Source organism: Homo sapiens, chromosome 11 (genome assembly GCF_000001405.40).
Source record: "Homo sapiens chromosome 11, GRCh38.p14 Primary Assembly".
Lineage (NCBI taxonomy): Eukaryota > Metazoa > Chordata > Mammalia > Primates > Hominidae > Homo > Homo sapiens.
In genome coordinates, this window is record NC_000011.10 from 134,102,924 (window position 1) to 134,126,288 (window position 23,365).

The following is a 23,365-nucleotide window of genomic DNA, read 5'->3' on the forward strand; positions in this document are numbered from 1 at the left end:
TTGGAAAACACTCTGCAGGATATTATCCAGGAGAACTTCCCCAACCTAGCAAGGCAGGCCAACATTCAAATTCAGGAAATACAGACAATGCCACAAAGATACTCCTCGAGAAGAGCAACTCCAAGACACATAATTGCCAGATTCACCAAAGTTGAAATGAAGGAAAAAATGTTAAGGGCAGCCAGAGAGAAAGGTCAGGTTATCCACAAAGTGAAGCCCATCAGACTAACAGTGGATTTCTCGGCAGAAACTCCGCAAACCAGAAGAGAGTGGGGGCCAATATTCAACATTCTTAAAGAAAAGAATTTTCAACCCAGAATTTCATATCCAGCCAAACTAAGCTTCATAAGTGAAGGAGAAATAAAATCCTTTAGAGACAAGCAAATGCTGAGAGATTTTGTCACCACCAGGCCTGCCCTACAAGAGCTCCTGAAGGAAGCACTAAACATGGAAAGGAACAACCAGTACCAGCCACTGCAAAAACATGCCAAATTGTAAAGACCATCGATGCTAGGAAGAAACTGCATCAACTAATGAGTAAAATAACCAGCTAACATCATAATGACAGGATCAAATTCACACATAACAATATTAACCTTAAATGTAAATGGGCTAAATGCTCCAATTAAAAGACACAGTCTGGCAAATTGGATAAAGAGTCAAGACCCATCAGTGTGCTGTATTCAGGAGACCCATATCATGTGCGGAGACACACATAGGCTTAAAATAAAGGGATGGAGAAAGATCTACCAAGCAAGTGGAAAACAAAAAAAAGGCAGGGGTTGCAATCCTAGTCTCTGATAAAACAGACTTTAAACCAACAAAGATGAAAAGAGACAAGGCCATTACATAATGGTAAAGGGATCAATTCAACAAGAATAGCTAACTATCCTAAATATATATGCACTCAATACAGGAGCACCCAGATTCATAAAGCAAGTCCTTAGGGACCTACAAAGAGACTTAGACTCCCACACAATAATAATGGGAGACTTTAACACCCCACTGTCAACATTAGACAGATCAACGAGACAAAGTTAACAAGGATATCCAGGAATTGAACTCAGCTCTGCACCAAGCGGACATAATAGACATCTACAGAACTCTCCACCCCAAATCAACAGAATATACATTCTTCTCAGCATCACATCGCACTTATTCCAAAATTGACCACATACTTGGAAGTAAAGCACTCCTCAGCAAATGTAAAATAACAGAAATTATAACAAACTTGTCTCAGACCACAGTGCAATCAAACTAGAACTCAGGATTAAGAAACTCACTCAAAACCACTTGACTACATGGAAACTGAACAACCTGCTCCTGAATGACTACTGGGTACATAACAAAATGAAGGCAGAAATAAAGATGTTATTTGAAACCAATGAGAACAAAGACACAACATACCAGAATCTCTGGGACACATTTAAAGTAGTGTGTAGAGGGAAATTTATAGCACTAAATGCCCACAAGAGAAAGCAGGAAAGATCTAAAATTGACGCCCTAACATCACAATTAAAAGAACTAGAGAAGCAAGAGAAAACAAATTCAAAAGCTAGCAGAAGGCAAGAAATAACTAAGATCAGAGCAGAATGGAAGGAAATAGAGATACAAAAAACCCTTCAAAAAAATCAATGAATCCAGGAGCTGGGTTTTTGAAAAGATCAACAAAATTGATAGACCGCTAGCAAGACTAATAAGAAAAGAGAGAAGAATCAAATAGATGCAATAAAAAATGATAAAGGAGATATCGCCACCGATCCTACAGAAATACAAACTACCATCAGAGAATACTATAAACACCTCTATGCAAATAAACTAGAAAATCTAGAAGAAATGGATAAATTCCTGGACACATACACCCTCCCAAGACTAAACTAGGAAGAAGTTGAATCCCTGAATAGACCAATAACAGGCTCTGAAATTGAGGCAATAATTAATAGCCTACCAACCAAAAAAAAGCCCAGGGCCAGATGGATTCACAGCCGAATTCTACCAGAGGTACAAGCAGGAGCTGGTACCATTCCTTCTGAAACTATTCCAATCAATAGAAAAAGAGGGAATCCTCCCTAACTCATTTTATGAGGCCAGGATCATCGTGATACCAAAGCCTGGCAGAGACACAAAAAAAGAGAATTTTAGACCAATATCCCTGATCAACATCGATGCAAAAATCCTCAATAAAATACTGGCAAACCAAATCCAGCAGCACATCAAAAAGCTTATCCACCATAATCAAGTGGGCTTCATCCCTGGGATGTAAGGCTGGTTCAACATACGCAAATCAATAAACATCATCCGGCATATAAACAGAACCAAAGACAAAAACCACATGATTATCTCAATAGATGCAGAAAAGGCCTTTGACAAAATTCAACAGCCCTTCATGCTAAAAACTCTCAATAAATTAGGTATTGATGGGACGTATCTCAAAATAATAAGAGTTATTTATGACAAACCCACAGCCAATATCATACCGAATGGGCAAAATCTGGAAGCATTCCCTTTGAAAACTGGCACAAGATGGATGCCCTCTCTCACCACTCCTATTCAACATAGTGTTGGAAGTTCTGGCCAGGGCAATCAGGCAGGAGAAAGAAATAAAGGGTATTCAATTAGGAAAAGAGGAAGTCAAATTGTCCCTGTTTGTAGATGACATGATTGTATATTTAGAAAACCCCATCATCTCAGCCCAAAATCTCCTTAAGCTAATAAGCAACTTCAGCAAAATCTCAGGATACAAAATCAATGTCCAGACATCACAAGCATTCTTATATACCAATAATAGACAAACAGCCAAATCATGAGTGAACTCCCATTCGCAATTGCTTCAAAGAGAATAAAATACCTAGGAATCCAACTTACAAGGGATGTGAAGGACCTCTTCAAGGAGAACTAGAAACCACTGCTCAACGAAATAAAAGAGGACACAAACAAATGGAAGAACATTCCATGCTCATGGGTAGGAAGAATCAATATCGTGAAAATGGCCATACCGCCGAAGGTAATTTATAGATTCAATGCCATCCCCATCAAGCTACCAATGACTTTCTTCACAGAATTGGAAAAAACTACTTTAAAGTTCCTATGGAACCAAAAAAGAGCCCACATTGCCAAGTCAATAATAAGCCAAAAGAACAAAGCTGGAGGCATCATGCTACCTGACTTCAAACTATACTACAAGGCTACAGTAACCAAAACAGCATGGTACTGGTACCAAAACAGATATAGATCAATGGAACAGAACAGAGCCCTCAGAAATAATACCACACATCTACAACCATCTGATCTTTGACAAACCTGACAAAAACAAGAAATGGGGAAAGGATTCCCTATTTAATAAATGGTGCTGGGAAAACTGGCTAGCCATATGTAGAAAGCTGAAACTGGATCCCTTCCTTACACCTTATACAAAAATTAATTCAAGATGGATTAAAGACTTAAATGTTAGACCTAAAACCATAAAAACCCTAGAAGAAAACCTAGGCAATACCATTCAGGACATAGGCATGGGCAAGGACTTCATGTCTAAAACACCAAAAGCAATGGCAACAAAAGCCAAATTTGACAGATGGGATCTAATTAAAGAGCTTCTGCACAGCAAAAGAAACTACCATCAGAGTGAACAGGCAACCTACAGAATGGGAGAAAATTTTTGCAATCAACTCATCTGACAAAGGGCTAATATCTAGAATCTACAAAGAACTCAAATTTACAAGAAAAAAACCTCATCAACAAATGGGCAAAGAATATGAACAGACACTTCTCAAAAGAAAACATTTATGCAGCCAAAAGACACATGAAGAAATGCTCATCATCACTGGCCATCAGATAAATGCACATCAAAACCACAATGAGATACCATCTCACACCAGTTAGAATTGCGATCATTAAAAAGTCAGGAAACAACAGGTGCTGGAGAGGATGTGGAGAAACAGGAACACTTTTACACTGTTGGTGGGACTGTAAACTAGTTCAACCGTTGTGGAAGACAGTGTGGCGATTCCTCAGGGATCTAGAACTAGAAATACCTTTTGACCCAGCCATTCCATTACTGGGTATATACCCAAAGGATTATAAATCATACTGCTATAAAGACACATGCACACGTATGTGTATTGTGGCACTATTCACAATAGCAAAGACCTGGAACCAACCCAAATGTCCATCAATGATAGACTGGATTAAGAAAATGTGGCACATATACACCATGGAATACTATGCAGCCATAAAAAATGATGAGTTCATGTCCTTTGTCGGGATATGGATGAAGCTGGAAACCATCATTCTCAGCAAACTATCGCAAGGACAAAAAACCAAACACCGCATGTTGTCACTCATAGGTGGGAATTGAACAATGAGAACACTTGGACACAGGAAGGGGAACATCACACACCAGGACCTGTTGTGGGGTTGGGAGAGGGGGGAGGGATAGCATTAGGAGATATACCTAATGTAAATGACGAGTTAATGGGTGCAGCACACCAACATGGCACATGTATACATGTGTAACAAACCTGCACGTTGTACAGATGTACCCTAGAACATAAAGTATAAAAAATATATATAAATAGTCAAAAAAAAGTGTTTTGAAGTGAATGAAAATAAAAATGTGACATCAGAATTAAGACTAGGCCACTAAAGCAGTAACTAGGGTGAAATCTACAGCATGAAAGACCTATATTCGAAAAGAAGAAAGGTCTGAAATCAGTGAGTTCATCTACTTTATGAAATTAGAAAAAGAGCCTGGGCAACATAGCAAGTCCCCATCTCTACAAAAAATTTAAAAATGAGCCAGGCATGGTGGTAGATGCCTGTAGTCCCAGCTACTTGGGACATCGGGGCAGGAGAATTGCTTGGTCCCAGGAAATTGAGGCTACAGTGAGCTAATATTACGCCACGGCACTCTGGCTAAGCAACAGAGAAAGACCTTGTCTCTAAAATAAATAAATAAACAGAAAAATAGGAAAAAAAATCAGAAAAAGAACACATATTCAAAGTAAGCAGAATAAAGAAGATAATAAAGGTAAAAGCAGAAATCATGAGACTTCAGAAAACAAAAACAACAGAAAAAAACCAGTAAGTCCAAAAGCTGTTTCTTTGAAAATATCAGTAAAATTAAGAAACCTCTACTAGACTAATTGGGAACAATAGAGAAAAGAAACAAGTTAACAATGCCAGGAATAAGATAGGTGACTATAAACACATTAAAAGAATGATAAGAAAATATTATGAACAACTTTATGCTTAAACATTTCACAACTTGGATCAAATAAATTTCTTGAAAGACACAACTACCAAAGCTCACTCAAGAAGAAATAAGTGGCCTGAATAGCCTAACATCTACTTTTTAAAAATAATTTATAGTTAAAAAAAAAACTGCCCACAAAGAAAACTCCAGGCCCAGATCACTGGTGAATTCTACCAAACATTTAAGAAAAAAAAGACACCAATTCTAACGAAACTCTTCCAACAAAGTGAAAAGAAAGAATTATTTCCCAAAGTATTCTATGAGGCCAGAATTACCCTGATATCAAAACCAGAGGCATTACAAGAAATCTACAGGCCAATTTCCCTCGTGAACATAGATGCAAAAATTTCAAACAAAATCTTAGCAAGTCAATCATAAAAAAGACCAAGTTCTGGCTGTTTGTGTGTATAGGAAGAAAACAAAAACAAAAACCAACCGAGGTTTATCCCAGGAATGCAAGGTTGGTTTAACATATGAAAATCAGTTAATGTAATTCATTATAATAACGCAATATCACCATATTACATTCTCAACAGATGCAGAAAAAGCACTTGACAAAATTCAACATCCATTTATGATAAAAAAAACTTTTGGAATAGGAAGGAACTTCCTGAGACAGACAACAGCAAAACAACAGAGGTAAATCAATAAACCAAAAGCTGGTTCAATTAAGCCAAAAATTAGGAATAGAGGGAGTTTCCCAATCTGATAAACAATATCCATGAAAAAGTTATAGGTAATATTATATTATTGGTAGAAACCAGACAAAAATACCTGCTCTCACCAGCTCTTTTAACTTTAATACAGAGTCTCATTCTATCTCCCGGGCTGGAGTACAGTGGCACAATCTCAGCTCACTGCAACCTCCACCTCCCAGGTTCAAGCAATTCTCGTGCCTTAGCCTCCCGTGTAGCTGGGACTACAGGCACGAGCCACCACACCACCCCCGGCTAATTTTTGTATTTTTAGAAGAGAAGGAGTTTTACCACGTTGGCCAGGCTGGTCTCAAACTCCTGGCCTCATGTGATCCACCCACCTCAACCTCCCAAAGTGCTGGGATTACAGGCGTGAGCCACCGTGCCCGGCCTGCTCTCACCACTTCTATTCAACACTGTATTGGAGGTTCTAGCAGTGCAACCAGGGATGAAAAAAAGAACTTAAAAAAAATTAGGAAGAAGTAAAGCTGTCTTCATATCTTTATTTGCAGAGGACATTAACATTTATGTCAGGGATCAGCAAACTACAATCCAAAGGCCAAATATAACTGTTGCCTGGTTTTTTGTTATTTGCTTTTGCAAATAAAATTTTATTGGAACACAGCCACATCCATCCATTTACTTATCAACTATGGCTGCTGTAAACCCAAAAGATCTGAGACAGGTCTCAATCAATTGAGAACTTTATTTTGCCAAGGTTAAGGACATGCCCGGAAGAATAAAACATGGAATCACATAAATGGTCAGTGGTCTGTGCCTTTTTTCAAAAATGATTTTGAGGGCTGCAATATTTAAAGGGAAAAAGTGGGCTGGAGGGGAAAGAGGGAGAATGTGGTAATCCACATGTTGCAAGAGAAAAGGAGCAGGTAGGGAAATAGTCAATTATGTATTCATATTGTGCCCAGTAAATAAATACTTTACATAAGATAAGGTGAACATGGAGTAGCTACCTGGGGAGATACTGAACCTTTTCTCTATAGCTGTCTGCTTAGAAACAAATGGAAAGGCAGCTTCTTGTAGGACACAGCTTTCAGCTTAGTTTTTTCCTTTTGGCAGAGTGAAGTGGGGTCTGAGTTTTTATTTTCCCTTCACATTGCTTTCACTCTAAAATGGCAGAGTTGAGTAACTGTAGCAGAGATCTTATGAATGGAAAATAAATACAAGATGCTTAACCTAATTTGCATCATTTAATTTGCACCTTAATGCAAATTAAAACCACAGTAAGATACCACTGTGCATCTATCAGAATGACAAAAACTAAAAAGATTGACTATACCTAGTGTTGGTGAGGGTATCAAAAACAAGATTTCCCATCCATTGCAGGTGGGAATGTAAAATGGTAAGACCAATTTGGAAAAGTGTGATTAAAAATGAAAAGATAGACCTATTATTTGATTCAGTTATTATACTCCCACATACTTATGTAAGAGAATGAAATCATATGTTTATACAAAGATTTGTACACAAATATTTATTTGTAGCATCTAAAAACTGGAAATAACCCAAATGCCCATCAATAGTAAATAAACATCTGGTGGTATTTCCATAAATGGAATATGACTATTCAGCAATAAAAACTAATAAATTATTGATGCATGCTGCCACATAAATGAATCTCAAAATAATTATGCTGAGTGAAAAAGGCCAGACAAGAAGAGTACATATGGTATGATTCCATTTATTTAAAATTCTAGGAAATCCAAACTAGTGACAAAATCGCTAAGTGGTTGCCTGGGGACAGGGCAGATGGGGTGAATAAGGAAGGAAGGGCAGAAGGGAAGGATTACAGGAGCATTAGGAAACTTTTGAGGGTGGTGGGTAGGTCGGCTAGAAACCTGGGAGTTGCTGGATATGTTCGCTATTGTGGTTGTGGTGGTGGTGGTTTCAAAGCTTTACGTATATGCTAAATTTTATCGAATTATATGGTATAATTTAAATATGTGCACTTTATATGTCAATTATACCTTGATTGTTTTTTTAAAAGTCCAAAACCAAAAAATTGGGCTCTGATGTGTGGCCATGTGAATGAGTGATCTGGTGAAAAAGGATACACTAGCTCTGTACCAAATCCCTGACTCCCAAAACTGGACATAGATATGGAGGTATTCTCTCTCTCCCTCTGTGAGAAGCTTAGGGTATAAGAATATATGGCTCATATGAATCCTTGAATTAATTCTTTGTTCTCACTCTACCTTTCCTATGTCTACACTACATGCCTGTACCATACCCAACACACATCCATCTTTTTTTTTTTTTTTTTTTTTTTTTTTTGAGATGGAGTCTCACTCTGTCGCCCAGGCTCGAGTGCAGTGGCGCGATCTCGGCTCACTGCAAGCTTCGCCTCCTGGGTTCACGCCATTCTCCTGCCTCAGCCTCCCAAGTAGCTGGGACTACAGGCCCGCCACCACGCCCTGCTAATTTTTTTTGTTTTTTAGTAGAGACAGGGTTTCACCATGTTAGCCAGCATGGTCTCAATCTCCTGACCTCGTGTTCCGCCCACCTCGGCCTCCCACCATTCATCTTTTAACTATGGAAAAATACCAGTGAAAATCAAGGCATTCATTTTGTGCCATTATGCACAATCATAAGGGAAAAGAAAAGAGTCAGTAAAATCCTAGTGTTAAAGAGGAAGAAACTCTACTTCTCCTCATACCATTAATTCGATGTTAGGGAAGGATCATTGCATGGTATGACAAGAATCAGAGTTTCTCAGCATTCAGTTTTTGGCCCTGTTTTTGAAATTCTGTAGAATGAGACCCTACAATGTACCAAGGAATAAGGAAGAAAATGGGAAAGCAGGAAAATGGTTAAAATCACAAGGTAAAAGAAAGCTGAAGCTTAGAAAAAAAGTTTGCTTTCATTCCATATAAACAATAAAAAGGGAATCTCCATTTTCTTTTAGATAATGCCTCTCAATTAACAAAAATTTCATTTTCAGCTTCTGTAGATCCATAAATTAATAAGATACCTACACATCAAATGTCCCTCAGTTATAATGGAAGCCCAGTGTGCTCACAGGATCCAAACACCTCAGCGATCTGAAGTCCAGCCTCTCCACCTACCACAACCTCCATAATCACACTAATTACATTTTTAAAATCAAGGAAGACAGTGGATCTCTAAACGTGAAAAAAGAAATACCTTCTACTATGTGAAAACTGCCCATCTCATATGGCAACACTTTTATTACGGTAAAGCAATTTATTTATTTATTGAGACAGAGCCTCGCTCTGTTGCCCAGTATGGAGTGTGGTTGCATGGCCTTGGCTCACTGCAACCTCTGCCTCCCGGGTTCAAGGAATTCTCCTGCCTCAGCCTCCCAAGTAGCTGGAATTACAGGGATGCACCACCACGCCCAGCTCATTTTTTGTGTTTTTAGTAGAGACGGGGTTTAACCATGTTGACCAGGCTGGTCTTGAACTCCTGACCTCAGGTGATCCACCTGTCTCAGCCTCCCAAAGTGCTGGGATTACAGGCGTGAGACACCGCACCCAGCCAGTCAATCAATTTAAAATGGGCTGTATACTTGGCATCAGAGATGGAAGTGCAGGTTTCAAGTCACTCTATCTAAATGAAACTACTATGTGTGTGTGTTCATTATATAAATTATATATGCTGACACAGATATACTTAATTATGTACGATGACACACACACATATTTTGCTAACATTTCCTGCAGTATATACTATGTGTCCACCACCAAGTTCCTTACCAACACTGAACTTTTATTAACATATTCCTCCCAACAATCCTATGAGGTAGGTACTGCAATTACCCCAATTATAGACAAGGAAACTCACTCACACAGAGGTCACATGGCTACTAATTGGTACCGGTGGAGGAGATCAACTCAAGTAGCAACTCCAGAGTACATGCTCTTACTCGTTTTGCCTTGCCCAAACTTAAGATAGCTGCCTTCATGTCGTGTAAGAGGATATGACCTCCAATATGAATGGAGAGGGGTAGAGCATGAAATAGAGCATGAAAATCTTGTCTCATTTGAGGTCTGAAGCCACAGACCAAAGAGAAAGTTATATATGCTGTCTTCTGTGTGATGGGCTAGGGCCTGGAGTGGGCTCCAAGTAATACCCAGCAAGGTCATCAACAGAGCACTCCAGTCCAGTGCACTCTGGGAGAGGGATCACTTGAACCCAAGGGCTAGCATCTCGGTCACTTGAATCTTCAGTACCTAGCATGGTAACTGGCATATATTAAGGGATCATAAATGTTTTACTCAATGAATTTCAACAAATGAATCTTTTACAGAGTAGTAATTGACAATGTGGGTTCTGGGACTGGACTGTCTGGTTTTTTTTTTTTTTAATACTTTAAGGGTACATGTGCACAACGTGCAGGTTTGTTACATATGTATACATGTGCTGTGTTGGTGTGCTGCACCCATTAACTCGTCATTTACATTAGGTATATCTCCTAATGCTAACCCTCCCCGCTTCCCCTACCCCACGACAGGCCCTGGTGTGTGATGTTCCCCTTCCTGTGTCCAAGTGTTCTCATTGTTCAATTCCCACCTCTGAGTGAGAACACGCGGTGTTTGGTTTTTTGTCCTTGTGATAGTTTGCTGAGAATGATGGTTTCCAGCTTCATCCATATCCCAACAAAGGACATGAACTCATCATCTTTTATGGCTGCATAGTATTCCATGGTGTATATGTGCCACATTTTCTTAATCCAGTCTATCATTAATGGACATTTGGGTTGGTTCCAAGTCTTTGCTATTGTGAATAGTGCCGCAATAAACATCCGTGTGCATGTGTCTTTATAGCAGCATGATTTATAATCCTTTGGGTATATACCCAGTAATGGGATGGCTGGGTCAAAAGGTATTTCTAGTTCTAGATCCCTGAGGAATCGCCACACTGTCTTCCACAACGGTTGAACTAGTTTACAGTCCCACCAACAGTGTAAAAGTGTTCCTGTTTCTCCACATCCTCTCCAGCACCTGTTGTTTCCTGACTTTTTAATGATCGCAATTCTAACTGGTGTGAGATGGTATCTCATTGTGGTTTTGATGTGCATTTGTCTGATGGCCAGTGATGATGAGCATTTCTTCATGTGTCTTTTGGCTGCATAAATGTCTTCTTTTCAGAAGTGTCTGTTCATATCCTTTGCCCACTTGTTGATGGGTTTGTTTGTTTTTTTCTTGTAAATTTGTTTGAGTTCATTGTAGATTCTGGATATTAGCCCTTTGTCAGATGAGTAGGTTGCAAAAATTTTCTCCCATTCTGTAGGTTGCCTGTTCACTGTGATGGTAGTTTCTTTTGCTGTGCAGAAGCTCTTTAGTTTTAATTAGATCCCATTTGTCAATTTTGGCTTTTGTTGCTATTGCTTTTGATGTTTTAGACATGAAGTCCTTGCCCATGCCTATGTCCTGAATGGTTTTCTTCTAGGGTTTTTATGGTTTTAGGTCTAACATTTAAGTCTTTAATCCATCTTGAATTAATTTTTGTATAAGGTGTGAGGAACGGATCCAGTTTCAGCTTTCTACATATGGCTAGCCAGTTTTCCCAGCACCATTTATTAAATAGGGAATCCTTTCCCCATTTCTTGTTTTTGTCAGGTTTGTCAAAGATCAGATGGTTGTAGATGTGTGGTATTATTTCTGAGGGCTCTGTTGTGTTCCATTGGTCTCTATCTCTCTTTTGGTACCAGGACCAAGCTAAAACACTTTTTAATTTCCCTTTTGATTCTTCTTTGACTTACAGATTATTGAGAAATGTGTTAGTTTCCAAACATTAGGATTTTTCAGATGCCTTTCTGTACTGATCTCTATTTTAATTTCACTGTGGTCAGAAAACAAACTTTGTATGACTTGAATCTTTTAAAACGTATTGTGATTTGTTTTATGGCTCGGAATATGGTCTACCTTGGTAAATGTCCCATTTGCACTTGTCAAAAATATGTATTCTGCTGTCTTTGGGTTAGGTGTTCTATAAATGTGAAGTAGGTCAAGTTAGTCGATAGAATTTTTAAAAATCAGCATTCTTACTGATTTTCTGTCCACTTGTTCTGCTATTGAGAGTAGTGTTGAAATCTCGAACAAAGAATCCTATGGATTTGTTTATTTCTCCTTGCAGTTCTTTTCAGTTTTTGCATAATATATTTTGAAGCTCTGTTACTAGGTACATACATGTTTAGAATTTTTATGTTCTTTTGATGAATTGACCTCTTTATCGATTTTTAAATTTATTGTTATGAAATGACTTCCTTTATCATTATGAACTAACCTTTTTTATCCCTGGTAATATTCTTTGCTCTGAAATATACTTTGATACTAATATAGCCACTCCACTTTTCTTTTGGCTAGTGTTAACTTAGTATATCTTTTTTCATCCTTTTATTTTGAAGCTTTGTATCTTTATATTTAAAGTTGCCTTGCTTTTTTAGGAGAAAATCTAATCTAACAATATATGCCATTTAATTGGGATGTTTAGACTATTTACATTGCGTTTACTGATATAGTTAGGTTTAAGTCTTTTCTCTTGCATTTGTTTTCCTTTGTTTCATCTGTTCTTTGTTCTTTTGTTCTTTTTATGCCTTCTTTTCTATTGGGTAACTTTGTTTGGTCTTTTTTGTTGGTTTATTAGCTATAACTTATGACCTTGATATATTTAAAGAGTAGTGGTTAGGTGTTTTGCAGAAAGTCTTCAATTTGAGTTTATCTGATGTTTTCTCATGATTAGACTTGGTTTATAGATTGGGGGAGGGGGTCAGGTGCTGTGCGGCTAATGCCTGTAATCCCAGCACTTTTGGAGAATGAGGTGGGAAGATTACTTGAGCCCAGGAGTTTGAGACCAGCCTGGGTAACATGTGAGATCCTGTCTCTTAAAAAAAAAAATTAGCAAGGCATAGTGGCACACACCTGTAGTCCCAGCTACTCAGAAAGCCAAGGTGGGAAGATGGTTTGAGTCCAGGAGTTTGAGGCTGCAGTAAGCCATGATTGCGCCACTACACTCAAGCCTGGGTGACAGAATGAGACCATGTCTCAAAATAAATAAATAAAAAATTGGAGGAGGGGATAGATACCATAAAAGTGCAGTGCCCTTCTCATCATATCAAAGGGTATATAATATCATCATGACATGTTGCTGGTATTGCTACCCTGATCACTAGGTTTAGGTGGTGTCTACAAGGTTTCTCCACTGTAAAGTTAGTATGTTTCTTTTTCCCTTTCTATTTTTTAGGAGTTCAGCCCACACTCAAGGAGATGGAAATTAAGCTTCACTTCCTGGAGGGAGGAGAATCAGATAATTTGTGGATGTATGCTAAAATTACCATAATAATTAATAAATATTTCGGTGGATAAGATGTTATGAGGCTATTCAAGTATTCTGATAAAGTTTTTTCATGAATATTGGCAGTCATTAGTGGATGTTCCCTATAGCAGTTATTACTATGGTGTTCTAATGATTATTTCCTATTTCCCTTATTCTTTCTACATTTGTTCATTGTAATTCTCCTGTAAAGAAAATTTGGCCTCTGTCTCTCATTTATTTGCTTATTCATCATTTATGCATATTAGTGTGGATTTATGGGTATTGTATTCTTTGTATTATAATCCAATAGTATCATAATTTTTTTTCTTAAAATCTTCCAGCTTTGGCCACTGGAAGCTCTTTCAGGTGGCTGGGATTTTTTGTCGTTGTTTGTTTTTTAGCACTTTCTTGCTCTCTGACACTACAGGGTGCTCCAGGCTTATCTTGTATTTTCCCTGTCCTAGAATCAGCCATTTTTCAGGGAGCCCTGATTCTTTTTACTAGAGAATGGTATATGGGAAACTAGACCTGGGTACTAGAAATGCTTTTGGTTATCAGGTGTCACTGCTTCTAGGCTCTCGGTGAACAGGGCTAGGAGATACATGTATTTATATCCACGTATACACACATATCTATACTATTTCTCTATTTGTATCTATGTTAAAATAAACATTAGTTTATAGTGGTATGTCTGACTCAAATTCAGCACTACAGGGTTAATTCTAGCATTTTCCCCTTGCATATTCATTCTTTGATGTGAGAAACTTGGCTGTCATTACCTACAACGTATTTATAGTTATTTGTTTAACCAAGACAAGGATATCTGCTCACACCATTTCTACTCAACACCATATTGGAGGTTCTAGCCAATACAACCAGGCATGAAAAAGAAACTTAAAAAAAAAACAATCCACGGCCAGGCACAGTGGCTCATGCCTGTAATCCCAGCACTTTGGGAGGCTGAGGTGGGTGGATCATCTGAGGTCAGGAGTTTGAGACCAGCCTGGCTGAGATGGTGAAACCCTGTCTCTACTAAAAGTACAAAAAATAAAATAAAATAAAATAACCGGGGATGGTGGTGGGCACCTGTAATCCCAGCTACTCAGGAGGCTGAGGCAGAAGAATTGCTTGAACCCGGGAGGCGGAGGTTGCACTGAGCTGAGATCACACCATTGCACTCCAGCCTGGGCGACAAGAGCAAAAAACTCCATCTCAAAAAAAGAAAAACAATCCAAATTGGCGGGGAAGAAGTAAAGCTGTCTTGATGTCTTCCCTTATTAGAGAGAAATATTTGGTAGTTTGCAGTCTGTTCTACCTCAGGAGAGACTGCAGTAAAACTGATGTGAACATCTCAGAATTCAACTGTTTTGTAAATACCACCACCCCTTCCACTTTCCTTCAGCATCCCAGTTACCACTGGAATATTTTATAGCATATTTATTTTTCCTTTAACATGTTAAACCTAAAGCCCAGGTTTTGCAGCTTGAATATGTTTCCTCTTGTTGATATGACAGTGGGATATGACAGTGGAGTGAAACAAAGCAAACGAATAACTGGTCCCTGTCTTCCATGCAATGGTCTTTGATAGGTGAGATTCCCTTATATTTTCAAGTTCGGTTCCTGAAGTAGCTCATCCATTCAGATTCTGAAGAAGGGTGATCACTCCTGCACTGTCTTCAAGATAACAGTGAAGGCTAGTTCCATGTACCTCCGAAGGGTACTGTGAGCCCTAAAGAGGCTATACTGGATGGGGGTTAATGCAGAATGTCTGCAGTTGGAATGCAGGTGTAACTTTGAATTATTTTTTTGTAGCATATGAGAGCACACATTCCTCTCTTGGAATTCTGATACCAGAATCTGTAATCACATGCAAATAGTGTTTATGGGACTGGGCTCACACAGAAAGTAGCTTCATGCCAAGGTCTTATGCTCAGGGCAAATATTAGGGATAATGTATTTCCAAATGAGTTATTTTACTGAACAAGAATATGCCTTGACACATGTTCTGTGTTTAGTCATACACATTTGTCATGCCTCAGTACCTCTAAGATGGGTCTCATGGCAACAGGCAGGAGGATTTTATGTGTTCATCTGTGCTTTAGAGCCAAGAATATTTTATAATTGGTCTGACTGGTCTGCAGTTAGAAAAAGTAACAGTGCCAGGCTCATGCAAAGATGGTGACCCTCCCTCCACCCATCATTTTTATATTTCCATTATTTCAGTGTAGAACTGAGCCCATGGTGAGTCAAGCCAAGTGCTGTACAGTTCCATCTCCTTTGCACAGGTTCTCCCTGAGTTACTGAAAACACTGGGAAGTCATTGCACCACTACAATGGAAGTGGTGCTGTCCTTCAGGCTATTCTCACTTCCTCCTCTCTGTCCTCTCTTTGTCTCTGGCCTCCCCCTGCCTGTCTCCCACCAACCCCAACCTTGTCTGCTCTGCTGCCTTCACCCTGCCTTTACTCTTCCTCCTCTCTCCCTGCCACCACTCCTTCTTTGATATTTTATCCACGTTTTTACTTGGTGGTTTGATGGTGAAAGTGTATATAAGACCCAGCCATTCCCTTTCTCTTTTGTCTTTCCTCATAGCTTCGATTAACATGGCAATAATTTCCTCCCCATGATAATCCTGGACTTTCCACTTATGCTTTAAAAGCCTTTCAATTGGAGATGAGAGCGGGGTTGGTTAACGGTCTTTCCAGGTTAGCCGTTTCTTCGAACACTTCTATTTAAGGTGGCTGCTAGGTGGAGTTTTACTCTGGTGTTATCTGACTGGATTAATCAGATTTGTGCTCAAGAAATCTTTTTTTTTTTTTTTTGATACAGAGTCTTGCTTTTGTTGCTCAGGCTGGAATGCAGTGGCATGATCTCAACTCACTGCAGCCTTTACCTCCTGGGTTCAAGCAAGCACATCGGCTAATTTTTGTATTTTTTTTTTTAGTAGAGACAGAGTTCCGCCATGTTGGCCAGGCTGGTCTCAAACTCCTGATCTCAAGTGATCTGCCCTCCTCAGTCTCCCAAAGTGCTGGGATCACAGGCATGAGTCAGCACGACTGGCAAGAAGTCTTTGGTGGTTTGGGTTTGGAAATGATAGAATCAAATAGAAAGAAAAGATTGTACACTCAAAGAAATAGCACCTGCTTTGAGGTCTTCCTGCTGGCTTAACCCTGGGGTGTTACATGGTACTGCTCTGACTCAGCTTTTAGGATCGCCACTGGAAGAGCTTTTCATATAATGTCTATACAGTGAAATGACTTAAGATTTTTCTTTTAAGAAGTGCCATTGCCAGAGTATTAGTGTTTAGGATTCTCCAGAGAAACAGAACTATTAGGAGATAGAGAGATAGAGATGTATTATAAGGAATTGACTCACACGATTAAGAAAGCTGGTGAGTTCAGAATCTGCAGTATGGGCTAGCAGGCTGGAGACCCAGGAGAGTCGACGATGCCAGTGAAGTCTGCAGGGCAGTCTGCTGGAGGAGTTTCCTCTTGGAGAGGAGGCCAGTCTTTGTGTTTTATTTAAATGATCAGGTGAGGCCCGCCCTCATTATGGAGGGCAGTCTGCTTTACTGAAAGTTCACAAATTTAAATGTTAATCTCATCTTAAAAACCCTCCAAGTTGACACATAAAATTAACCCTCACAGCTAGGTTTATTTGGAATTCCATGATACTTGGTTGGGTCTTTTTGTACTTTCATTTTCAATGGTCTGTTTTGTATATAACCATTTAGTTAAGCCAGGTCACAAAATATAACCAGGACTTCAGCTGGCTGTGCTCTTGTCAGAACCCATATTTGATCGATTTACTATATACTTTGCTGTGTGTATGGGTGAGTGGGTCTGTAAAATGCTGATATGTGTTCTTTATCCACCCCCACCTCCCACCCCCCATTTTCTCTTAAATTCCTTAAAAAATTGGTGAAGGAACTAAGACATTGCTGCAAAGATGCTATTTTATGGGATATATTCTTCTCTAGGGTAGACTCTGCGAAGCAGCTGTACAGCAGCGGTCTGCTGTGAAGGGTAAACATGTAGCCTTTCTCCACTAGAAAGCCTGCGCTGCCGTTGTATGTTTAGGCTTGAGCCTCAGCGGCTAGTGCAGCCTCGCAGTAATGCATGCTGACGTGAGTCCTGGTCAAGGAAAAATGTCTTTTGAGCAAGAGACAAACTGGACAGAATGCCAGCAAGCTAAATATAACTCCTTAGAGAGCCAGACATGCATAAACTAGTTCTTAGTGAGCAACACATCAGATTCAGAGTGGAAACATTTTCTAAAAGAACTTCTTTTCCTTCTTGGCTTACTGTAATGAGTATAAACCCAAATTAATTTAATTTTTCGTGGAAAGCTAAGACAACCATTGATTTTTCTCTCAGCATCTCTGCAGTTAAATGTTAGTAGCCATTGTTAATGTTGGAAGCCTCCCGTCTCCCAGTGCCCCAGCATTCTGTTCATGAGTCAACAAGTCTGCTCTGCTATTCCGATGAGTTTCACTACCACAAGGAAAGAGGACGGGGAGTTTGCACATTCAAACCTTGACGAATCTGGGAGTTCAGTTTTTCATGGACCCTCACTCTGCTTCAGGATGCTCACGCCATTATGTGAAAACTCTTAGCAAAATCCATCAAAATGAGCCAGGCTCTATGGAATCAGGAAATTTGTGGGCTGAGACTAACATTACCTCAATATCTGTTATGGCTTAAATGTATTGTTTTAATAATATTTTATGTTAGTTCTTTTTGCCTGAAGCTGTAGAAGCATTTTATAGCCAGTAACTCTTCAGAATAGTACAGGAAAGCAGGCGTCATCCTCATGCTCAACAATAGAGCTGTGTTTCTGTGCACCAACCGCAGATGCTGGGTCTGGCCCCCACAGAAGGAGTGCCTCAGTAGGGCATCCCAAATGGGGCTGTGCATAGCGTCACTCCAGAGGCTGGGGACAGTGCAGATCCAGACCTTTCCCAGCCTGTTGAGTTAGAACTGGGGGACTGTGCTCCAGGGCGTGAGGAGGTGGGTTGGGAAATGGTATTTTAAACAAGCGAAGTGATTGTCATATAACTTGTCTGGCATCAGATCCGCAGACTCTGGCAGAGTTTCCGGAAGGTCTCTCAAAACTGAAATAAGAAACTGCAGTTGTTGTCCACAGCTGCTAAAATTGTTCCAAATTAGGAAAGGGAAGGGGAAACAGAACACAGTAGTTCCAGAGAAGAATCTGAGGAGCCGTGTGAGCTAGGAAGGCCATTGTGAGCAGAAGCGAGTCAGTATTTCCTCATTTCCTCTCCTGCCTTATCATTCCCATCTGCCAGCTCCCTCCTTTTTTTTTTTGAGCATGTAAAACATGTTTTGTTGTTCTTTAAAAGGGTTCAGGGTTTGGTTTTAAATCAGGCTGCACACCTTTCAAATCATTCTGACATCTCTCTATGTCAAACTGGCTTCAGCTAGCAATACTTCATTAAATCCAAAAGAAAAAGATTCCTTTAATTTTAAGGAAAAAAATCCAGTTTTGAGAACAATTAACATTAGTCTTTAATTTAAAAGAAAATGAGGGCTAATGTTTCATGTTGCTTTATACATCCTTCTCCTCAATACAGAACCAGGAATGTAATTTTCCTAACTTGGGCAGGCACTGATACTGATGGACACTGCGTGCATGTGTGCGCACACACACACACACACACACACACACACACCCTCCTCCCAAACAAAATTCAGAGTGTGTCAAAGGGAAAAGGTTTGTCATGGTATTGATCAAAACACTTGGAGTCAACACTGTCTACCTTAGCTTAGCACGTGTGCTGTTTTGATCTTGAGTCTATATTAATGGAATCTGTTGTTGTGTTTTGAAATGGAGAATTTTGGATATACCATTATTTTTTTACTTTTAAGTCCCAGAAACAATTTCAGAAAGCATTATTTTGTTTTGTTTTCTGGGATGGGAGAAGAGAGAATCTACAGATTTGTATTTAGTTAAAAATCAAAACTCCAGCAATAGGAAATAGGCAGTTCACATAGCCGGCCAACATTTGAGGTATCATCAGTGTGAGACAAGGTCCCGGTCTGTTCCTACTGGCCTAGCTGACGCTAACAAAATGGGAGGCTTATGGCTCTGCACAGCAAATTCCAGCAAGATAAGATGACTTTAAGCCTGTATTCAGAGCCTTAGAAGCAGGGCACTACTGAGAATGTAATATTTAGAGGTAAAAATAGTGCAAGAGCCCCTGATGGTACCCCTCTACCTGCTTTGTCCATGCAGCCTGATCGTAACTGCCTTCCACAAAGGATCAGAAAAACACCTCTTCTGGATCAGTCCACTAAACCCAGCCAAGAATCTGCAGAAATGCTGCTACACCGCTTCACCAGCAACACAGTCCCTGCGCTACTCACTGCGTTGCCCAACGTTGCTTTTCTACCCTGTTATGGCCTGTGGACACATACTCACTAGGCATCATCGCTGGTTTTAAACCAGGGATATTTTTTAATCTCAAAAGAACCTAGTAATAACAAGGCAATCAATGGTTAAACTGAACTTTACATATAGGGGGCAGTTTGGAAAACACCACAAGCATTTCTCAAGTCGAAAATATGTGAATTCGCTGCTATTTCTTTGACCGTTTCTGAACATTCACAGTACAAGTCCTAAAATAAAAATTTTAAGCTACCAGCATTCTCTGATACTAGACAGAAAATCAGAGTAACGCTACAGCCCACAATTGTACAGGGTGTAGAAAGTAGGCCCACTGCCTGGACATCTTTGTTGATGGCCTGGAGTCCTCCCTTTTAGAAGACAAGTTTCTGGGATATCCACTTAGTTTCACTGGTTAGGGAAGAGAAGAATTCAACTCTCAGCTAACTTCTTTGAGAAGAGACTCCTCTTAAAATGCCATTTCCCCACTAATTTATCAAAATAAAACAAAAGGCTCTTGGCTACTTTGTCTAGTATTAGATAGGGTTTTGAGGAAAAGAAGCTAACATGAACACCCTTTCATCAGTAAAGACTAAAAACCACCTGGATCATATAATATATCTATATGTCACTGCTTTTATTTATTTAGTTATTTGTTTGTTTATTTATTTAAAAGTGCCCAGGTGGGCTTAAGGCTGCCAGACTGCACGTACATCTACGGCAACAAGGGCTTCTATTCCATCTACAACTTGCATCAGGGGAAAAAGGGACATGTAGGAGAGGAAGGAAAAAAGGAGAAAAATACACCACCACCCCCCCCCCCCCAAAAAAGGGAAAAAGATCCCACCACAGGGAGATCTATGTGCCAAGCATAATGAAGAGTGTGCTCCCCAGACAGATGGTTCTGCACAGGCTAATGTTCTGCTGGTTTTCCTTAGAGACCTATTTTGAAAAAGTTTAAAAAGACAGATTTCAAAATAATTCAATCCTGGCAGAAATTCAAACTCCAAAACTAGGAGCAAAATCATCCTTCACTGAATTAATTCCTTTTCTCTTTCTCTTTTCTTAAACATTTTATTCATTTTATAGAGAGATTTCTTTTTTGTTTGCTTTTGTTCCAATCATGAGGAGAGTGGTTGAGGAGTAGTGAATCCATCACTACTTTGATGACACAGGTAAGATTCCAGATTCACATTTCCAGGTACCAAGGGTTCCCTCTAAATGCCACAATCAAGTGAGCCTTCATTTACATTTCTTTCTACTGAACACAGCAGTGCCCGTTGGTATCTCTGAAGCGTAATCACATCTTAGGTCAGTATTTCTCCAAGTAAAGCAGCTGTTTGGAATTGAAGGCCCCCCTTCTTTTTTGTGTTATAAACTGAACTGCATCTTCGTACTTCATTCCATATTCAATCAAAGCAAGTGCAACCAGCACAGGTGCCCTTCCCAATCCCGCAACACAAGGCACTGCAACACAGCCACCTGGCTCTTCACAGAATTTGGTTTATAACAGGTTTAACCAATCATCTACTATCTGATTAGGGGGTGGAGCTCCATCATCAAATGGCCAATCTAGAAGGTGGATTCCTTCTTTTTCAACTGGAGCTTTATCATACGTAGCATCACAAACTCGAACCAAAGTCATCACTCCATACTTCTTAAGTTCCTCTGGGAACTCGTTGAGAGTAGCACTGGTAGGGTTGTGAGTTACAAGAAAACGCATGTTCTCACAGGAAATCTCCACAGGGGCTGGACGGTTCATTATGGCAAATGAAAAATGTGAGTGTGCGTGTGAGTGTGATGGGAAAAGTGAAAGAAATCAATAAATCAAAATGTTTCACAGCAGAAAACATTAAAAAGACCACTAAAATGCCTATTATCAATCAGTGTTTTCTCTATTCAACTTGTTTATTCCTTATGAAGCTTCTGTCTTCAAGATAAGCAAAGTATTTAGAATCCACTTGAATCCAAATTCAACTTGGGCCTCAATTTCTGCAGATGGATACCTTCGGACTCCAAAAAAATCCAACTACATAAGCAGCCTTTACTACATTTAGGCACTAGTGAGGCAAGTTAAAAGTGTAGGTCGCTTTCCACTTGTTTCCTTGATGCCTAATTTTACTGGAGTCATTAAAAGAAATATGCTTGCAATTAAAAAAAAAAGCCAGCTATTTCTGAGGCCGGTCGGTGTGTCCAGGAGTGTTCAAGGCAGTGTTAATTATGGCACATAGAACCTCTAAGCTTGTCAGCGAAAACGCTGTGCTGAGCCCGGCAGAAGTCTGCCCTCACACTCAGAATCGCCGTAAATGTGCAACGTATATTCCAACGAAAAACGCTGGCGAGCGGGGACCGGGCATTGAAGTCCGGCGGTGGCAGGAGCGAGGAGGCGCCCCTCTCCTCAGTTACCTCTGCGGCAGCGGCGACGACACCCCCCAGCCTCAGCGCGCGACACCCGCCCGGTGGCGGCGGCGCGTCTCCACGAGTCTGTCTTGCTGCTGCTCCTGCAGCCGCCGCTGCCCTGTGGTGTCGCCTCCCGAGGTGCACGGCCGCCGCCACTGCTGCTCCAGCCGCTCCCGGACGGACAACGGCTACAGCCCGGCCGATCGTGCCGCCGCCACCGCCGCTGCACGGGCAGCCAAAAGCAGCTCCCGCCCCCTCTTCTCTCTCTCAACTTAGTTCCACATCTTCCCTGGAAGGAAGAGATGGCTGTGTTGAAGATGACGGTGCCAGCTGCACATCATGTCAGAGGCTTTTTTTAGGTCGCTTCCCTTGCAGACTCATCCAAGATAGGGTTTTACTCAAACAATGGGATCTCCTTTTAGGCTTCAAGGTCTGATTCATGTTTTCCTTTTCGTACAGATCCTCTTCCCACTTTATTTGTTGCTTTCTTTTTTAGTTCTGGATAGATTTTAATATTGTATTTCTTCTTATAAGATTATACAATAAAGCAAGAAGTAGGGAGTAAGAGGCAAAACTCCCAGCTTCTGGTTTTTACTTTGTACTTGTAGCCATTGACCTCGCTAGCATCCGATCCCCTGTCTGGGACATGAGTGTAGTCATCTTTCCATCGATGGATGCTGGGAAGCTGAATCGGTGTTGAGAACGTGCTGTGAGACGCAGCACAGAATGTGAGCCCCGACAATACTCAGGAGAATGTACAGCTCGTTCAAGTCCCAGCAGCACTGTGTGCTCATCCTGTAGCTCCTTCCTGCTTTGCTAATTATCAAAATGTTGGTAGGAGAAAGCACAGTGTCTGCTTTGTTTTTTCTCTACATTAGACATCAGTCCTACAAGCTGGTTGACAGGCCTCTTCAGAAAAAGCACCCCGATGGGTTCATTTTCCTCTTCAGCAGAATAGTCAACTGATCTACAGGAAGCAGCGTACCTTCACACTTGCTCTATGTCAAAATCATGCTCTTTGTGAAACTAAAGGTCTCACTTTCCTCTGTCCTTCTCTCTCTGCACACTGCTGATTGGCTGGCTCCTCATATGTGAAAATTCGTGTTCTGTATAGCTGGTAGGTTTTCCTGCGACATCCCTTCCCTGTCCCACCCTTGTCTTCCCAGGAAAAGCATAGATTTTCCTTGTGGACAACTGTCCATAAAGGTAGAATGCTAGTAATACTTGAGCCTAGAAATTACTTAACCAGATGACAGTAAAACTTAGAAATTGATCCCAAGGTCCTCTGGCTCTCTACCCTGCATTTGCTTTGCTGAGGCTCTC

General features: G+C 40.2%; 1 protein-coding gene and 1 pseudogene across 2 annotated transcripts in view, besides 2 other annotated features; one reads left to right on the forward strand and one right to left on the reverse strand.

Moving 5' to 3' along the window:
- The window catches only part of JAM3 (junctional adhesion molecule 3), an 82,930-nt gene that overhangs the window by 33,852 nt on the left and 25,713 nt on the right, over positions 1-23,365 (forward strand). The gene's annotated exons all lie outside the window — the stretch shown is intronic.
- On the reverse strand, positions 20,207-22,279 carry PTP4A2P2 (PTP4A2 pseudogene 2; annotated as a pseudogene).
- Positions 21,616-22,154: an enhancer, noted in NCBI's record as "H3K4me1 hESC enhancer chr11:133994434-133994972 (GRCh37/hg19 assembly coordinates)". NCBI's record gives its function as "activates a minimal SCP1, AML or CMV promoter by ChIP-STARR-seq in naive H9 embryonic stem cells {active_cell/tissue: H9 hESC(naive)}" and the evidence as "EXISTENCE:reporter gene assay evidence [ECO:0000049][PMID:30033119]".
- Positions 22,155-22,691: an enhancer, noted in NCBI's record as "H3K4me1 hESC enhancer chr11:133994973-133995509 (GRCh37/hg19 assembly coordinates)". NCBI's record gives its function as "activates a minimal SCP1, AML or CMV promoter by ChIP-STARR-seq in naive H9 embryonic stem cells {active_cell/tissue: H9 hESC(naive)}" and the evidence as "EXISTENCE:reporter gene assay evidence [ECO:0000049][PMID:30033119]".